This window comes from Homo sapiens, chromosome 18 (assembly GCF_000001405.40).
Source record: "Homo sapiens chromosome 18, GRCh38.p14 Primary Assembly".
NCBI classification, from domain to species: Eukaryota; Metazoa; Chordata; class Mammalia; order Primates; family Hominidae; genus Homo; species Homo sapiens.
In genome coordinates this window covers 45,945,141-45,969,447 of record NC_000018.10, presented here as the reverse complement: position 1 = coordinate 45,969,447, position 24,307 = coordinate 45,945,141, and the positions used below count along the sequence as shown (strand labels likewise).

The following is a 24,307-nucleotide window of genomic DNA, read 5'->3' as shown; positions in this document are numbered from 1 at the left end:
CTGCCAGGCCTGGCTAATTTTTTGTATTTTAGTAGAGATGGGGTTTTACTGTGTTGCCCAGGCTGGTCTCGAACTCCTGAACTCAGGCAATCCGCCTGCCTCGGTCTCCCAAAATGCTAGGATTATAGGTGTGAACCACTGTGCCAGGCTGAGGTGCTTTTTAAAGAACCTTCATTTCTTTCCTCCTTCTCCTCTTTCTCCCATCCTCCCTGATTAACCTCTTTTTTGTGTGGAACTCACCCCTGCCCTGGTGTCATCCCTTCATTCAGTCTTTCCAATGTATGCCTCTTTTACCAGTTAGGCGATGATACACGTATCACAATGTATCTATGCATTGTGTCTGCTTCCCAACTAAACTGTAAAACATGCAAATTGAGAGTAGGGTCAGTTGTGTTTTGCTGACCAAGTAGTGGGTAGCACATAGAGAACTTTAAATGTCATAAATGACTTAAACTGGGAGAGGTCAGAGAGCAAGGGTATTCCAGACTGGGAGAAATATCAGCAAAAGTTATGGATAGTAATGGTGGTATAAAGATTTTGTTTATATTGGCCAACTCTTTGCAGGTGATAACTTTATATACATGCACACACACACACACACACACACACACACACACACACCAGGACATACAAAGTACATGTATATTCTGAGTAGCTTAATAATTTTTGTTGTTGAGGATTTGGGAACAAAATACACGAAATTGTATTATATACTCAATTAAAATATCATCACAAACAAGCAAACTGCATCTCTGAAGTCTTTTCCATTTTTCATGCCATATTGCTGGATTTTTTATTCTAGGGTATGCTACAGGTGGGTGGATGGTCTTTTTCCTCCCTCCCATACACTCCATTTCCTTTTCTTCTTTTTCTTTTCTTTTCTTTTTTTTGAGATGGGAGTTTCGCTCTTGTTGCCCAGGCTGGAGGGCAATGGTGCGATCTCGGCTCACTGCAACCTCCGCCTCCCAGGTTCAATTCTCCTGCCTCAGCCTCCCGAGTAGCTGGAATTACAGGCGTCCACCACCATGCCCGGCGACTTTTTTGTATTTTTAGTAGAGTTGGGGTTTCACCATGTTGCCCAGGCTGGTCTTGAACTCCTGACCTCAGGTGATCCACCCGCCTCGGCCTCCCAGAGTGCTGGGATTACAGGCGTGAGCCACTGCGCCTGGCCCACTCCATTTCAACGATCTTACCCCACCGCCAGACAAAACTCATACTCATTTGTGTGATTCACGAAATATTTATTTAGTATCTACTATGTGCTACTACGTGCAGTGTTCTAAAGACCCTTGGATACATCAGGCAACAAAATTAAGAACCCTGCCTTTGAGGATCTTACATTCTGGGAGGATTGACAGACACTAACAATAAGGATACAAGCAAATCACAGAAATCCTAGAGCTGGGAAGGGAAGATGTGGACAAGTTTTTCACATCTGGAAATTTCAAATGAAGCACACTGTAAAATGTATACTAAGAATACTTTTACGGATCTTATTTATCTTGTTACCTGTTTGCCTGTCCTTTTAGGAGCACATGTCTTTTTTCCAGTCTGGGAATTTGTACAGTAATGATAATTAATAACTACCATGTACCGACATGCCTGCCGCTACCAGGCACCTTTCTGGGAGAGCCCATTAAATTCTCATGACATCCGAAAAGGCAGGTGTGATCATTCCCCTTTACAAAAGAGGACGCCGAAGTGCACACCCCGATGGGCGTCAGGGTTTCTTCCTTGCGCGCAGTGCGGATTTAGGCTAACCGACTGGATCTGGTTTATCTGAAGATGAAAAAAAAGAATGGCAAACCCACTTTCCGGATTTCTTCAAGCCGACGCGGGTGAGGTGTGCGAGCGCGCCCGGGATCCGCACTGAGTGAGGTTCCGCAGAGCCGGGAGACGGAGGAGGTGGGTCAGCCTGGGTCGCTGCCCTTGTCCAGCGCAACCCAAGACACCTGCGCGCCGGGTGGAGCCAGGGCTAGGGGTGGGGCCTGGGCTCCGGGAAGGGGGCGGGCCTGCCTTCCTCCAGTGCAAATGCGTCCTGGAGTGGTTTGTCCTACGTTGCGGCCCGTAGAGGCGCCGACTCACCGCCTCTTCTCCGGGAGTGGCGGAGATTCGATCATGTGACAGTCCGGAGGCCAGAACCGGGCAGGTTGCTTGAAGCGCAGGGGTTTGACAAAAACAAACGGTGACGGCGCCGCGGAAGGGTCTATGGCCGAGGCGGTGAAGCCCCAGCGCCGGGCCAAGGCCAAGGCCAGCCGGACTAAAACAAAGGTGAGGATCTCCCCCACCCTCCCGAGGCTCTGGCAGTGTGCTGTGTCTCCTTGCTCCTCTCTTCGGCCTCCCCAGCCAATTCTACTCCCGTTCCCTGAGCCCTCTGCATCTTCCGCCTCCACCTTCCAATATTTGATCCCACCACCCGTTGACACCGGCCCTTCTCCTCCATTCCTTCTCCATATCCCCCTGCCACACTCTGTCAGGACCCCATTTTTCCTTCTCCCTCCTGTGACTTCACTGGCCTCTTCCTTTTCTGCTCTCTTGGCTTTCCTCACCTGGGTCTGGTTTCCTGCCGTGAAATAATTTTTCTCTTTCCAGCCCCATCGTTGACTCTCTCTTTACTCTTTTATATCCTAGAACATTTTTAGTCCCTGCCATGCATAAAGAGGGAATGTTCCCCTCCTCCACGCGGAGAAGGTACCTTTGGCAGAACTTTATAAGTAGACTAGTGCTGTGCCATTTCTGATCACTTTGAAAGTTCAAGATGATAGTAGTGCTGCCTCTGTTTATTTCTTATTGTCTTGATTGTTTATAAGGGGCATGAATGGCTAGAAATTAACCCAGGGCGGGACTCACACAGTAGGGAAGTGTTTGAATTTTCTGAGTTTCCTGTATTAGACTACATGTGGTATTAGAGTGATTTTAAGTTGATTTGTTTATAAGTGCAGTCTGGATTTTCATTTTATTATAGTACATATATACACATATATACATATGTACACATATATACATATATACGTACATATATACATATGTGTGTGTGTATATATATGTATATGTATTTTTTTTTTTTTTTTTGAGACAGAGTCTTGCTCTGTCGCCCAGGCCGGAGTGCAGTGGCGCGATCTCGGCTCACTGCAAGCTCCGCCTCCCAGGTTCACGCCATTCTCCTGCCTCAGCCTCCCTCCCGAGTAGCTGGGACTACAGGCGCCTGCCACCACGCCCGGCTAATTTTTTGTATTTTTAGTAGAGACGGGGTTTCACCGTGTTAGCCAGGATGGTCTCGATCTCCTGACCTCGTGATCCGCCCGCCTCGGCCTCCCAAAGTGCTGAGATTACAGGCGTGAGCCACCGCGCCCAGCCTATGTTTTGTTTTGTTTTTGTTTTTGTTTTGATATGGAGTCTCGCTCTGTCGTCCAGGCTGGAGTGCAATCTCGGCGGAGTGCAATCTCGGCTCACCGCAACCTCCGCCTCCCGGGTTCAAGCGACTCTCCTGCCTCAGCCTCCCGAGTAACTGGGATTACAGGCATGCGCCACCACACACGGCTAATTTTGTATTTTTAGTAGAGACGGGGTTTCTCCTTGTTGGTCAGGCTGGCCTCAAACTCCTGACCTCAGGTGATCCGCCCATCTTGGCCTCCCAAAGTGCCCGGATTACAGGCGTGAGCCACCGCGCCCACCCTATTTATATATATTTTCTAAGATGAACAGATTAAATGCTGCTCCCGCATGGCCAGACCTCATAATTTTGGCTTACCTGAAACAGAGTTTACATTTGGGAAATAAGGAGGATGGTATTACAAGTACAGGACATTTTTTTCCCCAGAAGTGGGTGATGTTCCAAAGCAGGTGTAATTTAAGCATGATACTGTAATCCGATTTTCTCATGGGAACAAGGTTTTAACAGGAGGGTAGTGTTCATAGGTACCATACTTAGTAGACTGTAGATGACTTATGTGGATTTCTTTCATTATGATGCTCTTTTTTTTTCTTTCCAACTTTTATTTTAGGTTTAGAGGGTACAAGTGGAGGTTTACTACATGGGCAAATGCACACCTTGGTGGTTTAGTGTGCAGATTATTTTGTCACCCAGGTAATGAGTATAGTGCTTGACAGGTGGTTTTTTTATCCTTCCCTTCTTCCCACCTTCTGCCCTCAAGTAGGCCCTGGTGTCTATTATTCCCTTCTTTGTGTCCATGTGTACTTAATGTTTAGCTCCCACTTATAAGTGAGAACGTGGTATTTGATTTTCTGTTTCTGCATTAATTTGCTTAGGATAATTACCTCTAACTGCATCCATGTTGCTGCAGGGGACACGATTTTGTTCTTTTTTATGGCTGCATAGTATTCCATGCTGAGTATTTACCACGTTTTCTTGATATGACTTTTTAAACGGCTGTAGTGGAGTTAGACACATTGGTGTATCCAGGTCTGTGAGGAGTTATTCTGGTGAGAAAGTCATTTTGGTACCAAATTTCAGGAATTTTATTTATTTATTTTGAGACAGAGTTTCGCTTTTGTTGCCCAGGCTGGAGTGCAGTGGCGCGATCTCTGCTCACCACAACGTCTGCCACCTGGCTTCAAGCAATTCTCCTGCCTCAGCCTCCCGAGTAGCTGGGATTACAGGCTGGGTAATTTTTGTATTGTTAGTGGAGATGAGGTTTCACCATGTTGGTCAGGCTGGTCTCGAACTCCAGACCCCAGGTGATCTGCCCACCTCGGCCTCCCACAGTGCTGGGATTACAGGCATGAGCCACCACACCCGGCTCAGAAATATTTTTAAAAGAAATGCTTTTGCATTGTATTGGGTTGGTAAAGAACTATCCAGGCCCAGGAGGAAGAAAAAAGCCATTGGCCAGCTATGCATAAGATCCCTAAACCTACTTAACGATGAGACTACAGGAAAAAAAAGAAAACATACCTATCCAGTGAAGAAAAAAAAAAATTCCTGAACCTATAATGCAGTAGTGCATAACACATAAATGTTAGTTGTCTATGAGAGCAGAATCTTAAGTCTTAATCTCTAGTTTTTTTCCCCCAAGATATTGATGAAACTAAAGCCTCCGGGGATTAAATATTGCTCAGTGTCATGCAGTTCGTGAGAGAACTCAGGTTAAAGCCAGAAATCCTGACTCTCAATCCAGGAACTTAATAGTTATTTCATGTATCTGTATGTCTTTTGTCTTTCCATAGATAGAATGTTACAGATGCTTTAAAAAGTCTGTTAAGGGGATTCCCTCTTAATTTATTTTGTTTAAAACAATTTCTAAATTAAAAAGTTAAAAATCTTAAGCTTTTAGATCCATCATGAAAAACCAATTGATTATATTTTTTATCCATCTTAGGCAACTTTCCTATACAAACATACATTAATTTTTTTTTGTTAAAGTTTATGAAGAGGCCTTTATTTCAGAGGCATTTGGGCAAACCAAAAATCCTTGACATCTACTTTTGCTCACCCTCCAAATCTGATCATTCACTAAGTCTTGCCAATTGCATTTTCTAAATATTCTTTTGATTCTGTGCATTTCCTCTCCATCCTAACTAGTACAACCCTCCTCCAAGGAGGATTTCTTCTAAACTGGCCTCTTTACGTTCATTCTTGCTGCCCATTCTCTAAACTGAGCTGGATATATATTTTTCAAAACAAAACTGATCATGTTACTCTCCTCAAAACCTTTCAAAGGTTTCCCATCACTCAGAGGCTAGAGTCCAAAGCATGGACTAAGGGCTCTGTATGATCTTGCCTCTGTCTTCCTCCTCAGCCTCAGTTCTACCACCAATCCCAACTTTCTCTCTTTTCTTTTCTTTTTCTTTTTGAGACCGAGTCTCACTCTGTCACCCAGGCTGGAGTGAAGTGGTGTGATCTTGGCTCACTGCAACCTCTGTCTCTTGGTTCAAGCGATTCTCCAGCTTCAGCCTCCTGAGTAGCTCAGATTATGGTGCCTGCCACCATGCTGGGCTAATTTTTGTATTTTTAGTAGAGACGGAGTTTCACCACGTTGGCCAGGCTCTTCTCAAACTCCTGGCCTCGGATGATCCACCCATCTCGGCCTCCCAAAGTTCTCTTTTGATTCTTAACCTTTATATTCTTTCCTGCTTCAGGGCCTTTGCCCATGTTGTTTCCTCTGACACCCCTTCCTATCCCTTTTTACCTAGCCAGCTACTCATTTGTGAGGTGTCAGCTAAACAGTACTTCGTCAGAGAAGCTTTTTCTCATCTTCCTGGTGTCACTGCCTCTCCAATAGCACTCTGCTCCCCTCTGTGCCACTCATCTCATTTGTGGTTACTTTGTCAACATTTCTCTTCTCCCTTAGATTTTGAACTCACTGAGGGAGGGACCTGTCTTGTTCTCAGTACCCTTCGTAGCCTCTTTGTCACTTGATAATGTTCGTCGAATGATGAAATAAATGCCAGTAATGAAGAATATTTCCAAGCTTTGTCACTCAGAGGAATTTACTCTAGTGAATTTCCTCTGACTAGTATGAGAAAACGGATGAAAAAAGTCCATGATACCAGCAAGGCCCCTATCTTTGTCAATCTAGAAAGTTAATTCTTTTAGAATAAAACAATCTAGAAAGTAATTTTTTTTAGAGTCAATTGATGCACTTCTTAGTGCTGGTTATAGTTCGATTATAGTTATAAAGTCCTATATTAATGAAACCTTTACCATCTATAGTATAATTTGGCAGCTATTTAGGGAACCACAAACTGGTTCAAAGTCTCAGTTCAGGAAGTGGATAGTGTCATGTGCTGTTGCCTTTAGACAGTTTGAGTGGCTTCTGGATTTCACCCAGCAGCTGACCTACATTCCTCAATGTTAATCATCTGATAGCTAACCTCGGCTGCTAGGTTGTGGTTAGGTATGTGGTGCTTATCACCTGATGCCTAAGAGAGAGACCTAATAATGTTTTCATTTCTTTAGTGTCATTCTCTGCTATAAAATCCCCCAACTCTGAGCACCCTGACTTCATTGATCTTGATAATTTATAAGTACAGTAGATTCTTAGATTTGGACTTACTCTGCAGGAGCAGTGCATTTTATAGTGTTTTCTTTGACAGTTAATATTAAATTCTGAATGCCAACAACTTATTAATAGTGAGAACATCTGGTAATTGCTAAGGACAGAAAGATGTGTCCCAGAAGGTCACAGGAAAAACCTTTGAATCTCCATCCCCCTTGTGCCATGCCTAAATGATTGATTTCCACCTCTAGTTCCTTTCTATCAGGAGTGGTTATTGGTTTGAAGTTGGGGGATGCTGCATAGTATTATTTAGCTTCTTTCGTGCCTCCTAAAAGCCATTCATTTATTAAACAAACACTCATTGATCACCCATTATGTTCCGAAAACTATTCTAGGCACTTGGGATGTAAAAGAGAAAAAACCCCAAAGAACCTGGCCTTAGTGGAGCTTAACATTCAAGAGGGAGAAGACAAAAAACAAGCAAGCTAAACAAACAAAAACCCATGAAGAAGAAAATATATCATGCTTTATAAGCGCTATGGAAAAAAGAAAAAGAACAGGTTGAAGAGTTGAGGAGTACTGGTGAGAGGTTAGGATGGGTGGTCTGGATAGTTTTTTTTTTTTTTTTTTGGGACAGAGTCTCACTGTTGTCGCCCAGGCTGGAGTGCAGTGGCGCGATCTTGGCTGACTGCAACCTTTGCCTCCCAGGTTCAAGCAATTCTCCTGCCTTAGCCTCCTGAGTAGCTGGGATTACAGGCACCCACCACCACACCTGGCTAATGTTTTTTTACTTTTAGTAGAGGTTTTGCCATGTTGGCCAGGCTGGTCTCGAACTCCTGACCTCAGGTGATCCGCCTACCTTGGCCTCCCAAAGTGCTGGGATTACAGGCTTGAGCCACCATGCCCAGCCTGGCTAGTTCTTATTGAGGGTGACATTTAAGTAAAGACATGAAAGGGAAGAGAGAGTTCACTATGTGGATATTGGGGGAGAAGTGTTTCAGGCAGAGGGACTAGCCAGGAAAAGGCTGTCTGGCGGTGGCATGCCAGACCTGTCCTTGGAACTGCAAGGAGGCAGTGTGGTTAGTGCAGAGTGAGTGAGGGGAGAACAGTAGGAGATGAAGTCAGAAAAGTAGCATAGCCTGGTCATGTTGGGCCTTGCGTGAGCTTTTACTCTGAGTGACATATGGAATCAACACAGGGTTTTGAGCAGAGGAGTGACATGATTCCACTTGTGCTTTAAAGAATCACTGTGACTGCTTTTTGGAGAATAGACTGTAAGGGGGCAAGGGTAGAAGCAGAGACCATCTGAGACTATTGCAGTCACCCAGGCAAGAGGTGATGGTGGCTTGGGCCAGGATTGTCAGAGAGAAGGTGGTGAGGAGTGTTTGAAGTCTGAGAGCCAAGAGGGTTTGCTGAGGTTTGGATGTGGGATGTGAGAGAAAACAGTCAAGGAAGACCCTGAGAAGGAGAAAGCTGTGGGTGGAACAGGTTTTAGGGGGGAAAATCAGGAGTTTGGTTTTACATATGTTAATTTTGAAATAAACATGTAGCAATGTGGAGTAGCCTTGGACATGTGAATCCAAGCCTATTCTACATCTTTACATGTTTTTTTCAAGTGATGAATAGAAACTTCCCATTTATTTCCCAAAACTTAAAAAAAACTTTAGTTTTAAATGATTACTTTCTGATTCCTCATTGCTTAAAGTGTGTATGAGTGTACACATACACACACTCTCACAGTGTACAACCCAGAAATGAAATGCCCAGAATTCCATCTCCTGGAAATAACTGTTGGTAATGGTTTGTTGTATTTTTCTTTAGGTTTTTTTCCCCATATACCCACACTCCAGAGCATATTTACTGTAATGTATAGTTAAGCATGTTTTTCTCTATTTATCAACTCTTTTTGTAAAATTTACTCATTATTGTTTCTCCATTTGAATGACTTTAAAATCGTTTTTTAATCTGTATGTAACTTATGTGGAGATCAAAAATAAAGAAATAGATTTTTCTTAATATGCCTGGCATTTTTAGTTGTAAGAAATATCTTTTGTTGGCATGATGACACCAGTCTGTACTTTCAACTACTAGGGAGGCTAGGCAGGAGGACCATTTGAGCACAGGAGTTCAGGTCTGCAGTATGCTGTGATTGTGCCTGCAAATAGCCAGTGCACTCTAGGTTGGGCAACACAGTGAGACCTTGTCTCTGATTTTTTTTTAAAAAAGGAAATACCTTTGGCTTAAATTATGTTACTTGATACACATGGAATTGATACACATAGAGTTGTCTGAATTTTACTTTGTGATCTGTAATGATTATTATATATACATTATGTCTTCCTTCTGTGTCTTTATTTATTTATTTTTATAAAGATAAAGATGGGATCTCCCTGTGTTGCCCAGGCTGGTCTCAAACTCTTGGGCTCAAGGGATCCTCCTGCCTCCCAAAGTGCTGGGATTACACGTGTGAGCCACTGCACCTGACCTTTATTTATTTTTAACTGAAGTAGGTAAAGGCAGTTGCTCTTGTTGCCCAGGCTAGAGTGCAGTGGCACAATCTCAGCTCACTGCAAACTCTGCCTCCCAGATTCAAGTGATTCTCTTGCTTCAGCTTCCCAAGTAGCTGGGATTACAGGCACCTGCCACCATGCCCGGCTAATTTTTTGTATTTAGTAAAGATGGGGCTTCACCATGTTGGTCAGGCTGGTCTTGAACTCCTCACCTCAGGTGATCCACCCACCTCAGCCTCGCAAAGTGCTGGTATTACAGGCATGAGCCACTGCACCCAGGCCTATTTATTTATTTATTTATTTATTTATTTATTTATTTAGAGACAGTCTCGCTCTGTTGCCACCCCGCCCCCACCCCAGACTGGAGTGCAGTGGTGCGATCTTGGCTCACTGCAACCTCCGCCTCCCAGGTTCAAGTGATTCTCCTGTCTCACCTTCCTGAGTAGCTGGGACTGCAGGTGCCTGCCACCACGCCTGGCTAGTTTTCTGTATTTTTAGTAGAGACGGGGTTTCACCATGTTGGCCAGGATGGTCTCAATCTCCTGACCTCGTAATCCACCTGCCTCAGCCTTCCAAAGTGCTGGGATTACAGGTGTGAGCCGCCCATGCCTGGCCCGGCCCCTATTTATGTATTTTGTGAGATGGAGTCTGACTCTGTCACCCAGGCTGGAATGCAGTGGCCAGATCTCGGCTCACTGCAACCTCCGCCTCCCGGGTTCAAGCAATTCTCCTGCCTCAGCCTCGCGAGTAGCTGGGATTACATGTGCCAGCCACCATGCCTGGCTAATTTTGTAACTGCCCAAGGGGTTCACCTTGCCCGCTGCCTAGACAGAGCCGATTCATCGAGACAGGGGAACTGCAATAGAGAAAGAGTAATTGACACAGAACAAGCTGTGTGAGAGACTGGAATTTTATTATTACTCAAATCAGTCTCCCCAGCATTCAGAGAGCAGAGTTTTTAAGGATAACTTGGTGGGTTGGGGGAAGCCAGTGAGCCAGGAATGCTGATTGGTCAGAGATGAAATCACAGGGAGTTGGAGCTGTTTTCTTGCACTGAGTCAGTTCCTGGGTTGGGGCCACAAGATCAGATGAACCAGTTTATTGATCAACTGGTGCCAGACCAGGTGTGAGCTTGATGGTACTTGCAGCACCAAAGTTTTTAATTTTGATGAAGTCCAATTGATCTTTTTATTTTGTTGCTTGTGCTTTTGGTGCCATATGTAAGAAGGCTTTGCCTACCCAAGTTTATAAAGATTTTTTTGTTTTCTTCTAACAGTTTAAAAGTTTTAGCTCTCACATTAGGTGTATGATCCTTTTTGCATTAATTTTTGTATATGATATAAGGTAAGGGTCCAATTTATTCTTTCATATGAGGATATCCAGTTGTTGTAGCACCATTTGTTCAAATTTCCCCATTGAATTGTTTTGGCATTCTTGTCAAAATCAATTTGCCATATATGTAAGGTTTTATTTCTGGATTCTCAGTTTTGTTCCTTTGATCTATTTGTCCATGTGCCAACACTATACTGTCTTTATTACTGTACTTTGTAGTAGATTTTGGAATTGCCAAGTGCGAGTTCTCCAACTTTGTTCTTTTTCAAGATTTTCTGTCTGTTGTGGGTCACTTGCATTTCTGTATGCAATTTAAGTATCAGTTTATCAACTTCTGCAAAAAAAGGTAGCTAGGATTTTGCAAGGCATTGTGTAGAGTTTGTAGGTCCATTTGAGGAATATTGTCATCTTAACAATATTGCGAAAGACATAGATTGTCTTTCCATTTAAATAAATTAAGTTGCATTTAATTTCTTTCAGTAATGTTTTGTAAGTTTCAGAGTACAAGTATTATGCTTCTTTCTCTCAATTTATCCCTAGTTTGTTCTTTTTATGCTATTATAAATGAAATTGTTTTACTAATTTCATTTTCTGATTGTCAACTCACTAAAATTTGGCCTCTGCCATACTGACCCTGCCTCAGCCTAGACTAGTAGAGTACAGGGGTCACAAAGTCAAATGCCTGCAGGAGCCAGGTGTATAACCTGGAGGAGTGAAGCAGGCTGAGTGGGACAGTGGTCACTGGGTCAGCCCGTGCCTGGTTTAGAGGGGACAGCCACTCTCGAGTTCTAGTTGATGGTTGCTGTGAGGTTGTGATGGTTTAGCATTGCCACATCTTATGATTTTCCAAGAAAAACTAGAAATCTGGATTTTTGTGTGAGAAATCCTAATTTGCAAATGTTAGCAACAAATCAGACACATACACACACATGCACACACAGTATAGGCCAAGCGAATCATATGTATTTTTAAGGATGATGTTTGAAGATGATGCCAGTGAACAAAATGAGAGTGAAATGTTTGATGTACCACTCACCTCCTTAACCGTAAGCGATGAAGAGTCCCTGATGTGTCCACTAACATTTCTCTTGCCGTAGTAACCATTTTCCCTCTTAATTTTTCTTTCTGATTTCTCAGTCTAAGAACCCTGTTTATTACAGCAAGTTTGCTAAACATCATTGCAGCATAGTTTGGGCTTGCTTTTTTGTTTTATTAACACTCATATAATGTTTTTCTATTATTTGTGATTTTAGGCAGTTTAACAAAGTAGTTTGTATGAGGTATGCATTGGGTGACTGACTTCTGGATCTGATGTCCACAGTTCACAGTGGGGAGTGAAGTAATTTGGAGGGTCATATTACTTCTTGAATCATTACCATTTGTAAATGTTTGGCAGTCAGGTTCATTTCAACAAGCTGACCTCAAATTCCATGTCAAAAATATTCATCTTTTTTTTCTTTTTAATATATAAAGGCCCTACTTTTTTGGCTATTAGTCTGCTGGACATTCAGAGCAGAATAATCCAAAATAACCAAGAGCTTGTATAACTCATGTTTGCCTGCCTTAAAATTTCTTCAAGAAAGTAAGTATTTGAGTGATTTCAATGAGGTTTTTAGTCTGTTTGAATGAAACAACTTTATTTAAATGTTATTTAAATAATTTTTTCTTCTTTATTCAGCCTAACTTCCTGTTATCTAGTTTGCGTATTAATGCCTGAAGGTTTTTTTGAAACCATAACTTATTTTTTAGTGAACAGCTTTTTTATGATGATAGAGATAATTTTGTACTTAGTGAAAAGTTGCAAATATAATACAGAGACTTCCCATGTACTCTTCACCCTTCATCCTCTTGTGTCGTCATCTTATATAACCGTACATTCTATGGCATGGAACAATGATTAAAACTAAGGAATTGGCCAGGCGCGGTGGCTCACGCCTGTTAATCCCAGCACTTTGGGAGGCTGAGGCGGACGGATCACGAGGTCAGGAGTTTGGCTAACACGGTGAAACCCCGTCTCTACTAAAAATACAAAAAATTAGTCAGGTGCCTGTAGTCCCAGCTACTTGGGAGGCTGAGGCAGGAGAATTGCTTGAACCCAGGAGGCGGAGGTTGCAGTGAGCCGAGATTGCGTGACTGCACTCCAGCCTGCGCAACAGAGCAAGATTCCGTCTCAAAAAAAAAAAAATAAATAAATAAAACACCCTAAAGAATTAATGTTGGTACAATAGTAGGATGTAGAACTTATTTGAACTTCACCAGTTTTTCCATTAATGTCCTTTTTCTAATCCAGGTCCCGCAATACACTTAGTTGTCAGATCACTGTAGTTCTCTCCAGTCTCTTCCAGTTTCTCAGTCTTGTCTTTCATGACCACATTCCTTCAGTTATTTTGTAGACTGTCCCTTAGTTTGGGTTTTTGTCTGATGTTTTCTCATGATTAGATTGAGGTTACTCATTACTGGGAATATCCTATTGGGTTATCTGATGTCAGTATTACTGGTGATGTAACTTTGATCATTTGGTTAAGGCATTATCTTCCAGGATTCTCCACTGAAACTTACTATTTTCCTGTTCGTTGTTATTAAATATTTGGGAGGAGATACTTTGAGACTATGCAGATACTCTGTTTCCCTTAAACTCTTCACTTACTCACTTTAGCATCCATGGGTAGATCTTACCTGTGGCAGTTACCATGGTGTTCTTGTGGTAAGTGTTCTGTTTTTCTCATTCCTTCTGTTAATTCTATTCATTGGAATTTTCCTGTATGGAAGAATTGTCGCTTCTCACTCATTTTATTTATGTATTTATTCATTCAGGTAATTATGTCAGTATGGGCTCCTGGATATTTATTTTATTCCAGTACTACAATTGTTATGTTGCTCAAGTTGTTCCGTCCTTTTCTCCCTGAGTTTTGAGTGAATTTGTCAAGGTGAAGACAAACCTATTGTGGCTGAAGATCCGTAGAGACTGATCTATTTAACTTAACCCCTGGCAAAATGGTGTACAATCTAATTAACTTTCCCCTTCTATTTTTTGAATCAGAATTTGCTGCTTACTGTGATGTCTTTTTCTATTAGGATCAGACTAGTGAATCTCCAAATTTAACACGCTCAATATTGGATAATACGAAATATGAAACACATTTCTGTTTCATATTTGTTCATATCTGTTCAAAAACACTGATAAAGTGAATTTAGGTTTCATTTGTTACATGATGAAATTTAGATTTTATGTGCAACTTTAAAATTCCTCCTGCTGAAAGCATTAATTATTGTGATAAATTATTTCACATTATGTATGTTGTTTTTAGGAAAAGAAGAAGTATGAAACTCCTCAGAGGGAAGAGTCCAGTGAAGTCTCCCTTCCAAAAACCTCCAGAGAGCAGGAAATCCCTTCTCTAGCCTGTGAATTCAAAGGAGACCATCTGAAGGTGGTAACTGATTCCCAGCTCCAGGATGATGCCAGTGGACAAAATGAGAGTGAAATGTTTGATGTACCACTCACCTCCTTAACTATAAGCAATGAAGAGTCCCTGACGTGTAACACAGAGCCCCCAAAGGAAGGGGGAGAGGCCAGACCCTGTGTGGGGGACAGTGCAGTCACTCCAAAGGTCCACCCTGGAGACAATGTTGGAACTAAAGTAGAAACCCCCAAGAACTTCACAGAGGTAGAGGAAAATATGTCGGTACAAGGTGGACTTTCAGAAAGTGCACCCCAATCTAATTTTTCTTATACTCAGCCAGCAATGGAAAATATACAAGTCAGAGAAACTCAGAATAGTAAAGAAGACAAACAAGGCCTGGTTTGTTCTTCAGAGGTGCCACAGAATGTTGGCTTGCAGAGTTCTTGCCCAGCCAAACATGGTTTTCAGACACCTAGAGTGAAGAAACTGTATCCCCAGTTGCCAGCTGAAATTGCTGGAGAAGCACCAGCTTTGGTGGCAGTGAAACCCTTGCTTCGCAGTGAGCGACTCTACCCAGAACTCCCGTCTCAACTGGAACTAGTACCATTTACTAAAGAACAGCTAAAAATCTTGGAGCCTGGTTCATGGCTGGAAAATGTTGAGTCATATTTAGAAGAATTTGACAGCATGGCTCATCAAGACAGGCATGAATTTTATGAGTTGCTTTTGAACTACTCACGATGTAGGAAGCAACTGCTGCTGGCTGAAGCTGAGCTGCTTACTCTGACATCTGATTGCCAAAATGCTAAAAGTCGGCTGTGGCAGTTTAAGGAGGAACAAATGTCTGTACAGGTATTTTGATCAGAAGCCTGGGGAATTTGCAGCGGAGCTGCTATTCCTGGGATGTTGTCCAGGTCTGGAGTCTGTGCCTTACACCCACTCTGACCCTGCCTCAGCCTAGAGTAATAGAGTGCAGGGATCACAAAGTCAAATGCCTGCAGGAGCCAGGTGTATAAGCTGGAGGAGTGAAGCAGGCTGAGTGGGACAATGGTCACTGGGCCAGCCCATGCCTGGTTTAGATGGGACAGCCGTTCTCAAGTTCTAGATGATGGTTGCTGTGAGGTTGTGATGGTTCAGCATTGCCACATCTTATGATTTTACAAGAAAAACTAGAAATCTAGATTTTAGTGTGAGGAATCCTAATTTGCAAATGTTAGCAACTAATCAGACACATACAGACAGTGTAGGCCAAGCAAATCATGTCTCCAGCTGAAATTCAGCCCATGGGTCATTAGTTTGTGACCTTGGGCATAATGCTACCAACATCCAATGGGAAGAGAGTGTCAAGGTTGAGAAGGGATGAGGAAACTGAAGGTGTTATGATCACTTTGGCCTCCATGGGGTTGCATCCAATGGTCTTCCCCATTGAGTGGGGATGAGGAATCTGAAGGTAGTAACTGATTCCTAGCTCCAGGATGATGCCAGTGGACAAAATGAGAGTGAAACTCACCTTCTTAACTATAAGCAATGGAGAGTCCCTGATGTGTAACACAGAGCCCCCAAAGGAAGGGGGAGACGTCCTCTCAAGTTTGAGAGGGGATGGAGAAGACCATTAGATGCAACCCTATGGAGGCCAAAGTGATCATAAGCCATTTCATAGTGGCTTAGGAGAGATGGCAAGGAAGAAGAGGTTACTCTTGACAAGTTTGGCAGTGAAGGGAAGCTGGAGGGGATATTGGGGAGAAACATGTCATTCCCCTATCCCTAATCCTCATTCATTGGCAGACCTGTATATCTCTGTACATAGTAAGGAGGGAAATATTTGGAAATACTGTATTGAAGAAGAGAGGATAGAATCAAGAACACAGCTGGTGGAGTGTGTATTCTCTTGAGTAGAACTATGAAGAATGATGAGGGTAGATCCAGAGATGTTTTGAGATACCTTGAAGTTTTGGAGATATCACATTGGCTTCATATTCATAAAATAGAAGGTAAGATCATCAATCATGAAAGTCTTAGGGACAAGTTCTATTATTTTCTTGCAGCTTTCACTGCTGACTACTACTTTTTTTTTAGATGGAGTCTAGCTCTGTCGCCCAGGCTGGAGTGCAGTGGCGTAATCTTGGCCCACTGCAACCTCTACCTCCCGGGTTCAGGCAATTCTCCTGCTTCAGCCTCCCGAGTAGCTGGGATTATAGGCGCCCACCACCATGCCCAGCTAATTTTTATATTTTTAGTTAGAGACAGCATTTCACTGTGTTGGCCAGGCTGGTCTCAAACTCCTGACTTCGTGATCCACCTGCCTCGGCCTCCCAAAGTGGTGGGATTACAAGCATCAGCCACCGCGCCTGGCCCACTGCTGACTACTAGAGTTACTCTTCCCTTCTCTGAATTTGCGATGTATTTGTGATTGGCCTTCTGTTCCTTTGCACCTGATCATATATTTGCTGGTAATGTTCTCTACACAGTAATATGTCTCCTCACCATGATTATAAGCTCTTTGAAGATGGTACTGAAGCCTGTGTACCTTATACTTGCTGCCTGCTTACTTCAAATGGAAAGAGTAACTGGTTTCATATTGTACCTTTTTGTCCTCTGGTAGGGTATCTGTGCAGATCAAGTGAAAGTTTTCAGCTATCATCGCTACCAAAGAGTAGAAATGAATGAAAATGCACTGGTGGAGCTAAAGAAGCTATTCGATGCCAAATCTGAGCACCTCCACCAGACCCTGGCCCTTCATTCTTATACTTCTGTGCTCTCAAGATTGCAAGTGGAGTCTTACATCTATGCATTGCTCAGTAGTTCAGCTGTTCTGAGATCTTCAGCAATTCACCAGCAAGGCCGAGGTATGTAAGTAATGAAGCTCTCTTTCTTGTGTTTTGAAGTAAAAAAAAATTGAGGGGTATAGCCTGGTTGAATTGACTGTATAGTAATTGGTCTTACAAGGTACCATTTGTGCTTGCAGTTTTACCAGGCCTCCCCCACTGTAGGATTGAGATCTGCCTTAATGACATTTCTTGGGAGCATTGCCAGGTCTCCTTTCTCCGTGGCTGTCTTTCTCTGCTTCTCTAGGATGCCAAAAAGCTCACTATCTATCATTAATGTCCTTTGCTGTCCTAGTTAATGTGCTTGTTACCAAGTTGAGTCCAAATATAGTTTTTGATTATAAAAGTAATCATCGGAATACTTCTTCACCCTTTATCTCTTGTGGTTTGTTTGGGCTGCTTTGTTTGTAGGGCTGTTTTGTTTAATTTTCCAACAGAGGATTAATAATGTTCTGAATTTTTCATCTTATTTTGGATTTTAAGAAATTAGTCTTTATGACATGAATATTAAGTATGCTTGTTGAATTATGCAATTTTTATTTCTGGGGGATGTATTAGGGTACTTTAAAGTAAAATTCCCCCTCCCCCATTTTCTTAACTAATCAATTAACTGGGGGTAGGTCAGAGATGTACTGATTTTCAAATAAAAAATAGTGGATTATGGCCGGGTGTGGTGGCTCACACCTGTAATCCCAGCAATTTGGGAAGCTGAGGTGGGTGGATCACTTGAGGTCAGGAGTTCAAGATCAGCCTGGCCAATATGGTGAAACTCCTTCTCTACTAAAAATACAAAAACTAGCTGGGTGTAGTGGCAGGCACCAGTAATCCCAGCTACTCAAGAGGCTGAGGCAGGAGAATGGCATGAACGCAGGAAGCGGAGGTTGCAGTGAGTCAAGATTGCGCCACTGCATTCCAGCCTGGGTGACAGAGTGGAGGCTGTGTCAAAAAAAAAAAAAAAATTATGATGAGGTTGATTTTTCCATTATTTTGAAATACTTCAAAGTTAAACACATTTTTGACTTGTCTGTTTATAAAAATTTAAGTATTTTGATGTAACTTTTCTCCTTTTATCTGCACTAAATATTTTAAAGGTTTTTGTTGTTATTGGTTTAAGTGAAGACACTAAAAATTCCCCCAAAAACACCATTTATGAGAGACTCATTTAATATCTTTCATTTACAGCGTCTAAGCAGACAGAAAGCATTCCCTCTGATCTGTGTCAACTAAAGGAATGCATTAGTGTCTTATTCATGTTCACCAGGAGAGTTAATGAAGATACTCAGTTTCATGATGATATTCTTCTCTGGCTGCAGAAATTGGTAAGGGGACAGAGATAGACACAGTAGTCTTTGTTTTATTTCTTTCATAATTTAGGAATTATCTGTTATATCATTACATTTGGTCTTCAACTTTTTCAGCTAATTTATTTGATGAGTTTATTAATGACTTTTCTTTGATCATGATACATGGTAGTAAGTTATTTATCTAGTGCATTATTGAGCACAAAGTATGTTTCTCTCTAGTAAAGATTATGCTAAATGAACTCTGGACTTCAGCTTTGAAAGAAATGGAAATGCAGGAAGTATGCGAAATTGAAGACTAGATGTATATTCAGAATATAGGTACAGGTTGAGGATTCCTAATTCAGAAATCTGAAATGATCCAAAATTCCAAACTTTTTGAGTGCTGATACGATGCCACAAGTGGAAAATTCCACACCTAAGTACTTAATAGAAACTTTGTCTCAGGTACAGAATTACAAATGAATATTGTGTTCAGACTTATGTTTCAGCCCCAAATGTATTAGTCCTTTTTCATGCTGCTGATAAAGACATACCTGAGACTGGGAAGAAAAGGAGGTTTAGTTTGACTTACAGTTCCATATGGCTGAGGAGGTCTCAGAATCATGGTGGAGGGCAAAAGGCACTTCGTACATGGTGGTGGCAAGAGAGAATGAGGAAGAAGCAAGAGCAGAAACCCCTGATAAACCCATCAGATCTCGTGAGACTTATTCACTATCATGAGAATAGCATGGGAAAGACCGGCCCCCATGATTCAGTTACCTCCCACTGGGTCTCTCCCACAATGGAGAAGAAGAATTCTATCTTATTCTGGATGATAGAATTCAAGTTGAGATTTGGGTGGGAACACATCCAAACCATATCACCAAGATATCTTATTATGTTTATGCAAATATTCCAAAATCCGAAAAAATCTGAAGTCTGAAATACTTCTGGTCTTGTGCATTTTAGATAAAGTATCGATCAAAAATTTTCTATATGTCATTCTTTTTGTCGTGATATTTAATGTCATGCTTAAAAATGTTTCTTTTAAGAGAAAGAAGAAAGGTAAAAGGATTTGGAAAACTTAGGAAAGATGTTGAGTGTGTTATGGGAAGAGGGCTATTTATTTATTGGTTATGTTTTCAGTGGGGCTGCCTTGGTTGCTCTTTTTAGGTTTGTACTAGAGTTCTTAAATGAAGGATAATGTTTCAAGCATACTTATTTGGATTTAAGAAACCATTACAAACTAAGAATAGATTAAACTACTTGACTTATATCTATTCACTTGTGGCCAGGAAATTAGTGATTTGTTATTTGCCAAAGAAGAAAAAGCTAGATTTGTAGAGAATCTGCTTATGATGTTATCATAGTACTCATAGATTTGTAGGCCTCGTAGAAACTCATCAGTGAATAGTATATCTTGTGTCTGGTTACTCTTTTGAAAGATTGCATGTATTGAAGCACTGGATAAATGACTTTACTAGACCCCTAGATAAATTATTTCTTTTATTAAAAATAGTGAGATCATATGACCTTTATTGTTCAGGTATCCGTGCTACAAAGAGTTGGCTGTCCTGGAGATCACCTCTTCCTTCTAAACCATATTCTTCGATGCCCCGCTGGTGTTAGTAAATGGGCTGTTCCTTTTATCCAGGTATGATGAATCATCAACTCATTCTGAGGGGTTGGGGGAGAGGTTTTATTAGACATTATTCCTGAAGAAATTGCTGAAAAAAAAAGGACTATTTAAAAAAGAGTAATATTTAAAATAAAATTCTTAAAATATATCCAGTATACATTTATAAAAGTTCTTAGACTGAAACTTGTTGGGCTACCCATAATTGATAGTACAGACTGTACTAAGTCTGCTTGTAGTCTGGCTGGGTAGTTTCAGTCGCATTTAATTCTACACAATTCCTGTGTAGAAAGGCTCACCAGGACTTTTTTCCCGTGGTACTCAATACAGCTTCCTAAGTCAATCTGTCTTACACCACAGTTGGTACAGGTCAAACAGAAGCCACCACATCTCAAAGTTCTTTAATATTAGCAGAGATCTCAGGTCTATGTGATCAACTCTTGTATACTTAGGAGTTGACTATGTGGTTTTTAGATTCTCCTCTCTGCTGTTGCCTTTGGGTCATTTTGTTACTCATAGCAACCACTTAGAATTTGCAGGAGCCAAAATGTTTGCCAAATTCAGCTTCTCCACACCTCCTTTTCTTTAGCACTTCTGGTGGCAAGAAGTCTGAATCTTATTAGGTAGAAGGAGGATTTTTTTTGTTTTTGTTTTGTCTCTCTTTGGATTAAAGTAGCAGTAGTGTCCTTCATCCCATGTTGTTACAGATAATTGGTGGAAACTGCTCAGTTACCTCTGCTCTTTGAGTACAGCTGACTCAGTGCCACCAGGTAACCCATGGGCTGTGCTTTACTCTTGTGTATTAGGTACCAGTTTCAGCTTTGTTCTCTTAACAGCAACTTTGGTCAGAATGCTTGTGAACCAAGATTATGGACACTTGGGTTATTTGTTTTCTACAGTATGCTTTTTGCTTTTCTGATTTCAGATCAAAGTGTTGCATAACCCATCAGGGGTCTTTCATTTTATGCAATCCCTTGCCCTGCTGATGTCTCCTGTCAAGTAAGTGTGCAAGAGCTTTGTGAAGTAGAGATTGAAATGCTTCTTTCTTCTAAAGGATTGGCTCCTGAAACTGCCTAGATCCAAAGAAGAACAGCTAAGGGAAGTGTTGGCATTCTAGAATTTAACATTGCAGATTTTCTTTGGGTTTGATACTTGTTTCAAAGTGACCCTTCAACTGCTTATATATAAGCAACCATTTTTATGGGTTCCCCCTTTTAGTGGGTCATATATACTATTGTGAAAGGTGCTACAGACAAAAAAGGTGATCTGTTTCTTGGAAGAAGAGATTTAATGCCAGAAGAGAAATAGCACAGAGAGATTTAAGTGCTAAATTGCGAAGCTATGCAATAGAAATGAAGAGAATAAAGAGTTGAGTGGAGTAGTCAGAGTGTTTCATGGTAACTGAGCTGTGTTTGAAGAATGGATTGGACTGGGCATGGTGGCTCACACCTGTAATCCCAGTACTTTGGGAGGCCGAGGCAGGTGGATCACCTGAGGGCAGGAGTTTGAGACCAGCCTGGCCAACACGGTGAAACTCCGTCTCTACTAAAAATACAAAAATTAGCCGGGCATGGTGGTGTAATCACCTATAATCCCAGCTACTTGGGAGGCTGAGGCAGGAGAATCATTTGAACCTGGGAGGCGGAGGTTGCAGTGAGCTGAGATCGTGTCACTGCACTCCAGCCTGCGTGATAGAGCGAAATTCCAACTGAAAGAAAAAAAAAAAGAATGGATTAGATTTCAGTAGGAGAACGGGACAATGGAGAACATGTAGGTGGGAGAACAGTGTGAGCAAAGGCCCCAACACAGGTTAGGATAGCTGTACGGAGCACAGGTAGATCAGTGTGGCTGAAGCAAAGGTGTGTGCGGGAGCTGGTAATAGAGGTGAAGAACTCGGGTGGGTTGGATTATAGAAGTCCTTGAAATTAAATGAGGAGTTTAGATTTGATGGTTCCTCTCCCTTACTGCCTTGGATACAAGGGCCTGCTCCTGCACGTGGTAGATAATGATTTGACTCACAAGTGTTTTTGCATTTATATCTATGTTTTGGCCCTAAACAAGCCTCTCCATTACCTTTTTTCTTTTTTTTTGAGAGGGAGTCTCTCTCTTTCGCTAGGCTGGAGTGCAGTGGAACGATCTCAGCTCACTGCAACCTCTGCCTCCTGGGTTCAAGAGATTCTCCTGCCTCGGCCTCCTGAGTAGCTGGGACTGCAGGCATGTGCCACCACACCCAACTAATTTTTGTATTTTTAGTAGAGACGGGGTTTCACCATGTCGGCCAGGATGGTCTCGATCTCTTGACCTCATGATCCACCCCCATCAGCCTCCCAAAGTGCTGTGATTACAGGCGTGAGCCACCACGCCCAGCCTCCATTACCCTTTTTTATTCAGTAACTCATAGTTGCTAAAATAGTTTCCCTGGCAAGACTTTGTGAGCCTGGTTTGAGTTAAGGTCCGCAGCATATGTATTGAGGTCCTGCATCATGCAGGGAGCTGTGCTAGTGTAGCTGCTTTTCTGCAATTATTCATCATTACTAATTCAGAATGGTTGCATTCTCCACCAAAATTAGTGCAGTTTTATTAGCCTTGGTTTTTGGCCAGTTCTTATTCACTAATTTAAACCATTGGAAGATTGGGATGATGTGTGGCTCTTCTTCAGGGTGAGTAGAGAATCCACAATGCACTCACGTAGCCTACATCTAAGTGATGGGAGTGATTATTCTTGTCCTTTAGAAATCGAGCTGAGTTTATGTGCCACATGAAGCCCAGCGAGCGGAAGCCATCCTCCTCAGGGCCTGGGTCTGGGACTTGGACGCTAGTAGACGAAGGAGGAGAAGAGGTAACTTGTCATATCTGCATTATTTTGATGAATCATTGTGAACTCTTCTTATGCACCAAGTATTGTTCTAAGCACTTTTCACATAGTATCTCATTTAATTCTCTCAGCAACTCCATGAGGTAAAGACTTATGATTCCTATTTTATAGATGAGGAAACTGAGGTGCAGGGGTGTGAAGTATCTTCTCTTAAACCATAGGGTCATTAAATGTGGAGCCTCCAGAGCCTATGCTTTGAGCCAGTGTGCTGTGCTGCACCCCTTCTCTAGAATATCATTCTGTTCAGCTGGGAGAATTTGGCACCTGGAAATTAAAGTCATATTACATAAGATGTATATTAGGAGTTTTTTTATATAGTAACAAGTTGCTGGGGTTGGAGCCTCACCTACAGATGATATGAATCTGAGAAATAAAGAGCTGGAGCTTAGCAAAGTTTTCCCTTAACTCATAAACTTCTTATCCAGAAATTCTCATTTGAAAGGTAGAAGATGGTTTTCCATTTTTGGTGAGAATTTAATGATCAAAATCCAGCTTCTCGAGATCACCCTTGTTAATTTTCCTTTCTACTATAGTCATTGTGATTAGATTTGTAAGCAGTTCTGTTCTCCAGCTAATTATCAGTTCTAGTCCTTTATTTTGGTCTGAATCTTGATTTGGTGTTCTTGTCTAGAATGTCCAGTGACCGATTTATTATAATCCCTCTCTTAAAAGGAGATGAAAGTGTCCAGCCAACAGTTCTCAGAATGACAGCCGTGGCAGCTGTTGGATCGTGTCTGTGTATTTCCCAGAGTGCTCATTCAGAAGTAGGGAGCCCCCTTCACAGTCGTTTTTCTCTTCCTGAGACTTGCAGGAGGAGGTGGTCAGGTGGTGGTAAATGACGTGGATGTGCAGGCATTTTTGCTAGAAACTGAGGAGTCATTCTGAAGCAAGCTTCTTAGGAGCCAGTACAGATTGGTCTTTTAAAGATTGTAGTGGAGCAATATGTTTTTTTTAGAGTGGTCTTTCTTGGGGGAGAAGTCTTTTTTTCTGGTAGGTTTCCTGCATTTAATCCCAGACAGATAATGATTAAGGAGCGTTATAATTACATGTAATGATTAGGCGTTATAAATACTTCCAGTCAAAATATTTGATTAATTATCTCACCCTGCATTGGTGCCTGGCTCCTGTTTAGCACTCCCTAAATATTCAGTGAATTCAAGAACTTGAGGAGTAGATGAGAAAGTTGGGAGTGCCATTACCTCAGAAAAGGCTGTAGGGAGGAAGGCACTCTGAATTATCCACATCATTGGTTTCTTGTTACTAGCTATATACTAGAATCACCTGGGCAACTTGCAAACCTTGCCCAGGCCCACACCCAGACATCCAAATAGTTAAAAGCCTCCCTGGGGGTTAAATGTACCTTTGAGTTGAGAATAGCTAAGTTGAGAACTACTGCCTTAAGTAGAGTTTCTGAAATGCTTGTTAGCCATTTTAGATACATAATAAGAGTGTAAAAATTGAGTGGCTTAAGGAAATTATGAATGAT

At 41.9% G+C, this 24,307-nt stretch overlaps 1 protein-coding gene across 21 annotated transcripts in view, besides 2 other annotated features; it reads left to right on the top strand.

Moving 5' to 3' along the window:
• Positions 1,859–2,360: an enhancer, noted in NCBI's record as "H3K27ac hESC enhancer chr18:43547054-43547555 (GRCh37/hg19 assembly coordinates)". NCBI's record gives its function as "activates a minimal SCP1, AML or CMV promoter by ChIP-STARR-seq in naive H9 embryonic stem cells {active_cell/tissue: H9 hESC(naive)}" and the evidence as "EXISTENCE:reporter gene assay evidence [ECO:0000049][PMID:30033119]".
• The window catches only part of EPG5 (ectopic P-granules 5 autophagy tethering factor), a 166,749-nt gene continuing 144,560 nt past the window's right edge, over positions 2,119–24,307 (top strand). For 20 of the 21 annotated variants that reach the window (XM_047437710.1, XM_047437706.1, NM_001410858.1 and 17 more), the window contains exons 1-7: positions 2,119–2,271; positions 14,110–15,054; positions 16,805–17,048; positions 18,210–18,346; positions 19,857–19,964; positions 20,872–20,945; positions 22,680–22,785. In XM_047437710.1, coding sequence (XP_047293666.1) covers positions 2,209–2,271; positions 14,110–15,054; positions 16,805–17,048; positions 18,210–18,346; positions 19,857–19,964; positions 20,872–20,945; positions 22,680–22,785 — 1,677 coding nt within the window. In that variant the 5' untranslated portion in view covers positions 2,119–2,208. The other variant, XM_047437711.1, reaches the window with a different exon arrangement.
• Positions 17,508–18,707: an enhancer, noted in NCBI's record as "P300/CBP strongly-dependent group 1 enhancer chr18:43530707-43531906 (GRCh37/hg19 assembly coordinates)". NCBI's record gives its function as "activates an origin of replication core promoter dependent on BRD2, BRD4, P300/CBP, MED14 and CDK7 cofactors, with strong dependence on P300/CBP, by STARR-seq in HCT116 cells {active_cell/tissue: HCT116}" and the evidence as "EXISTENCE:reporter gene assay evidence [ECO:0000049][PMID:35650434]".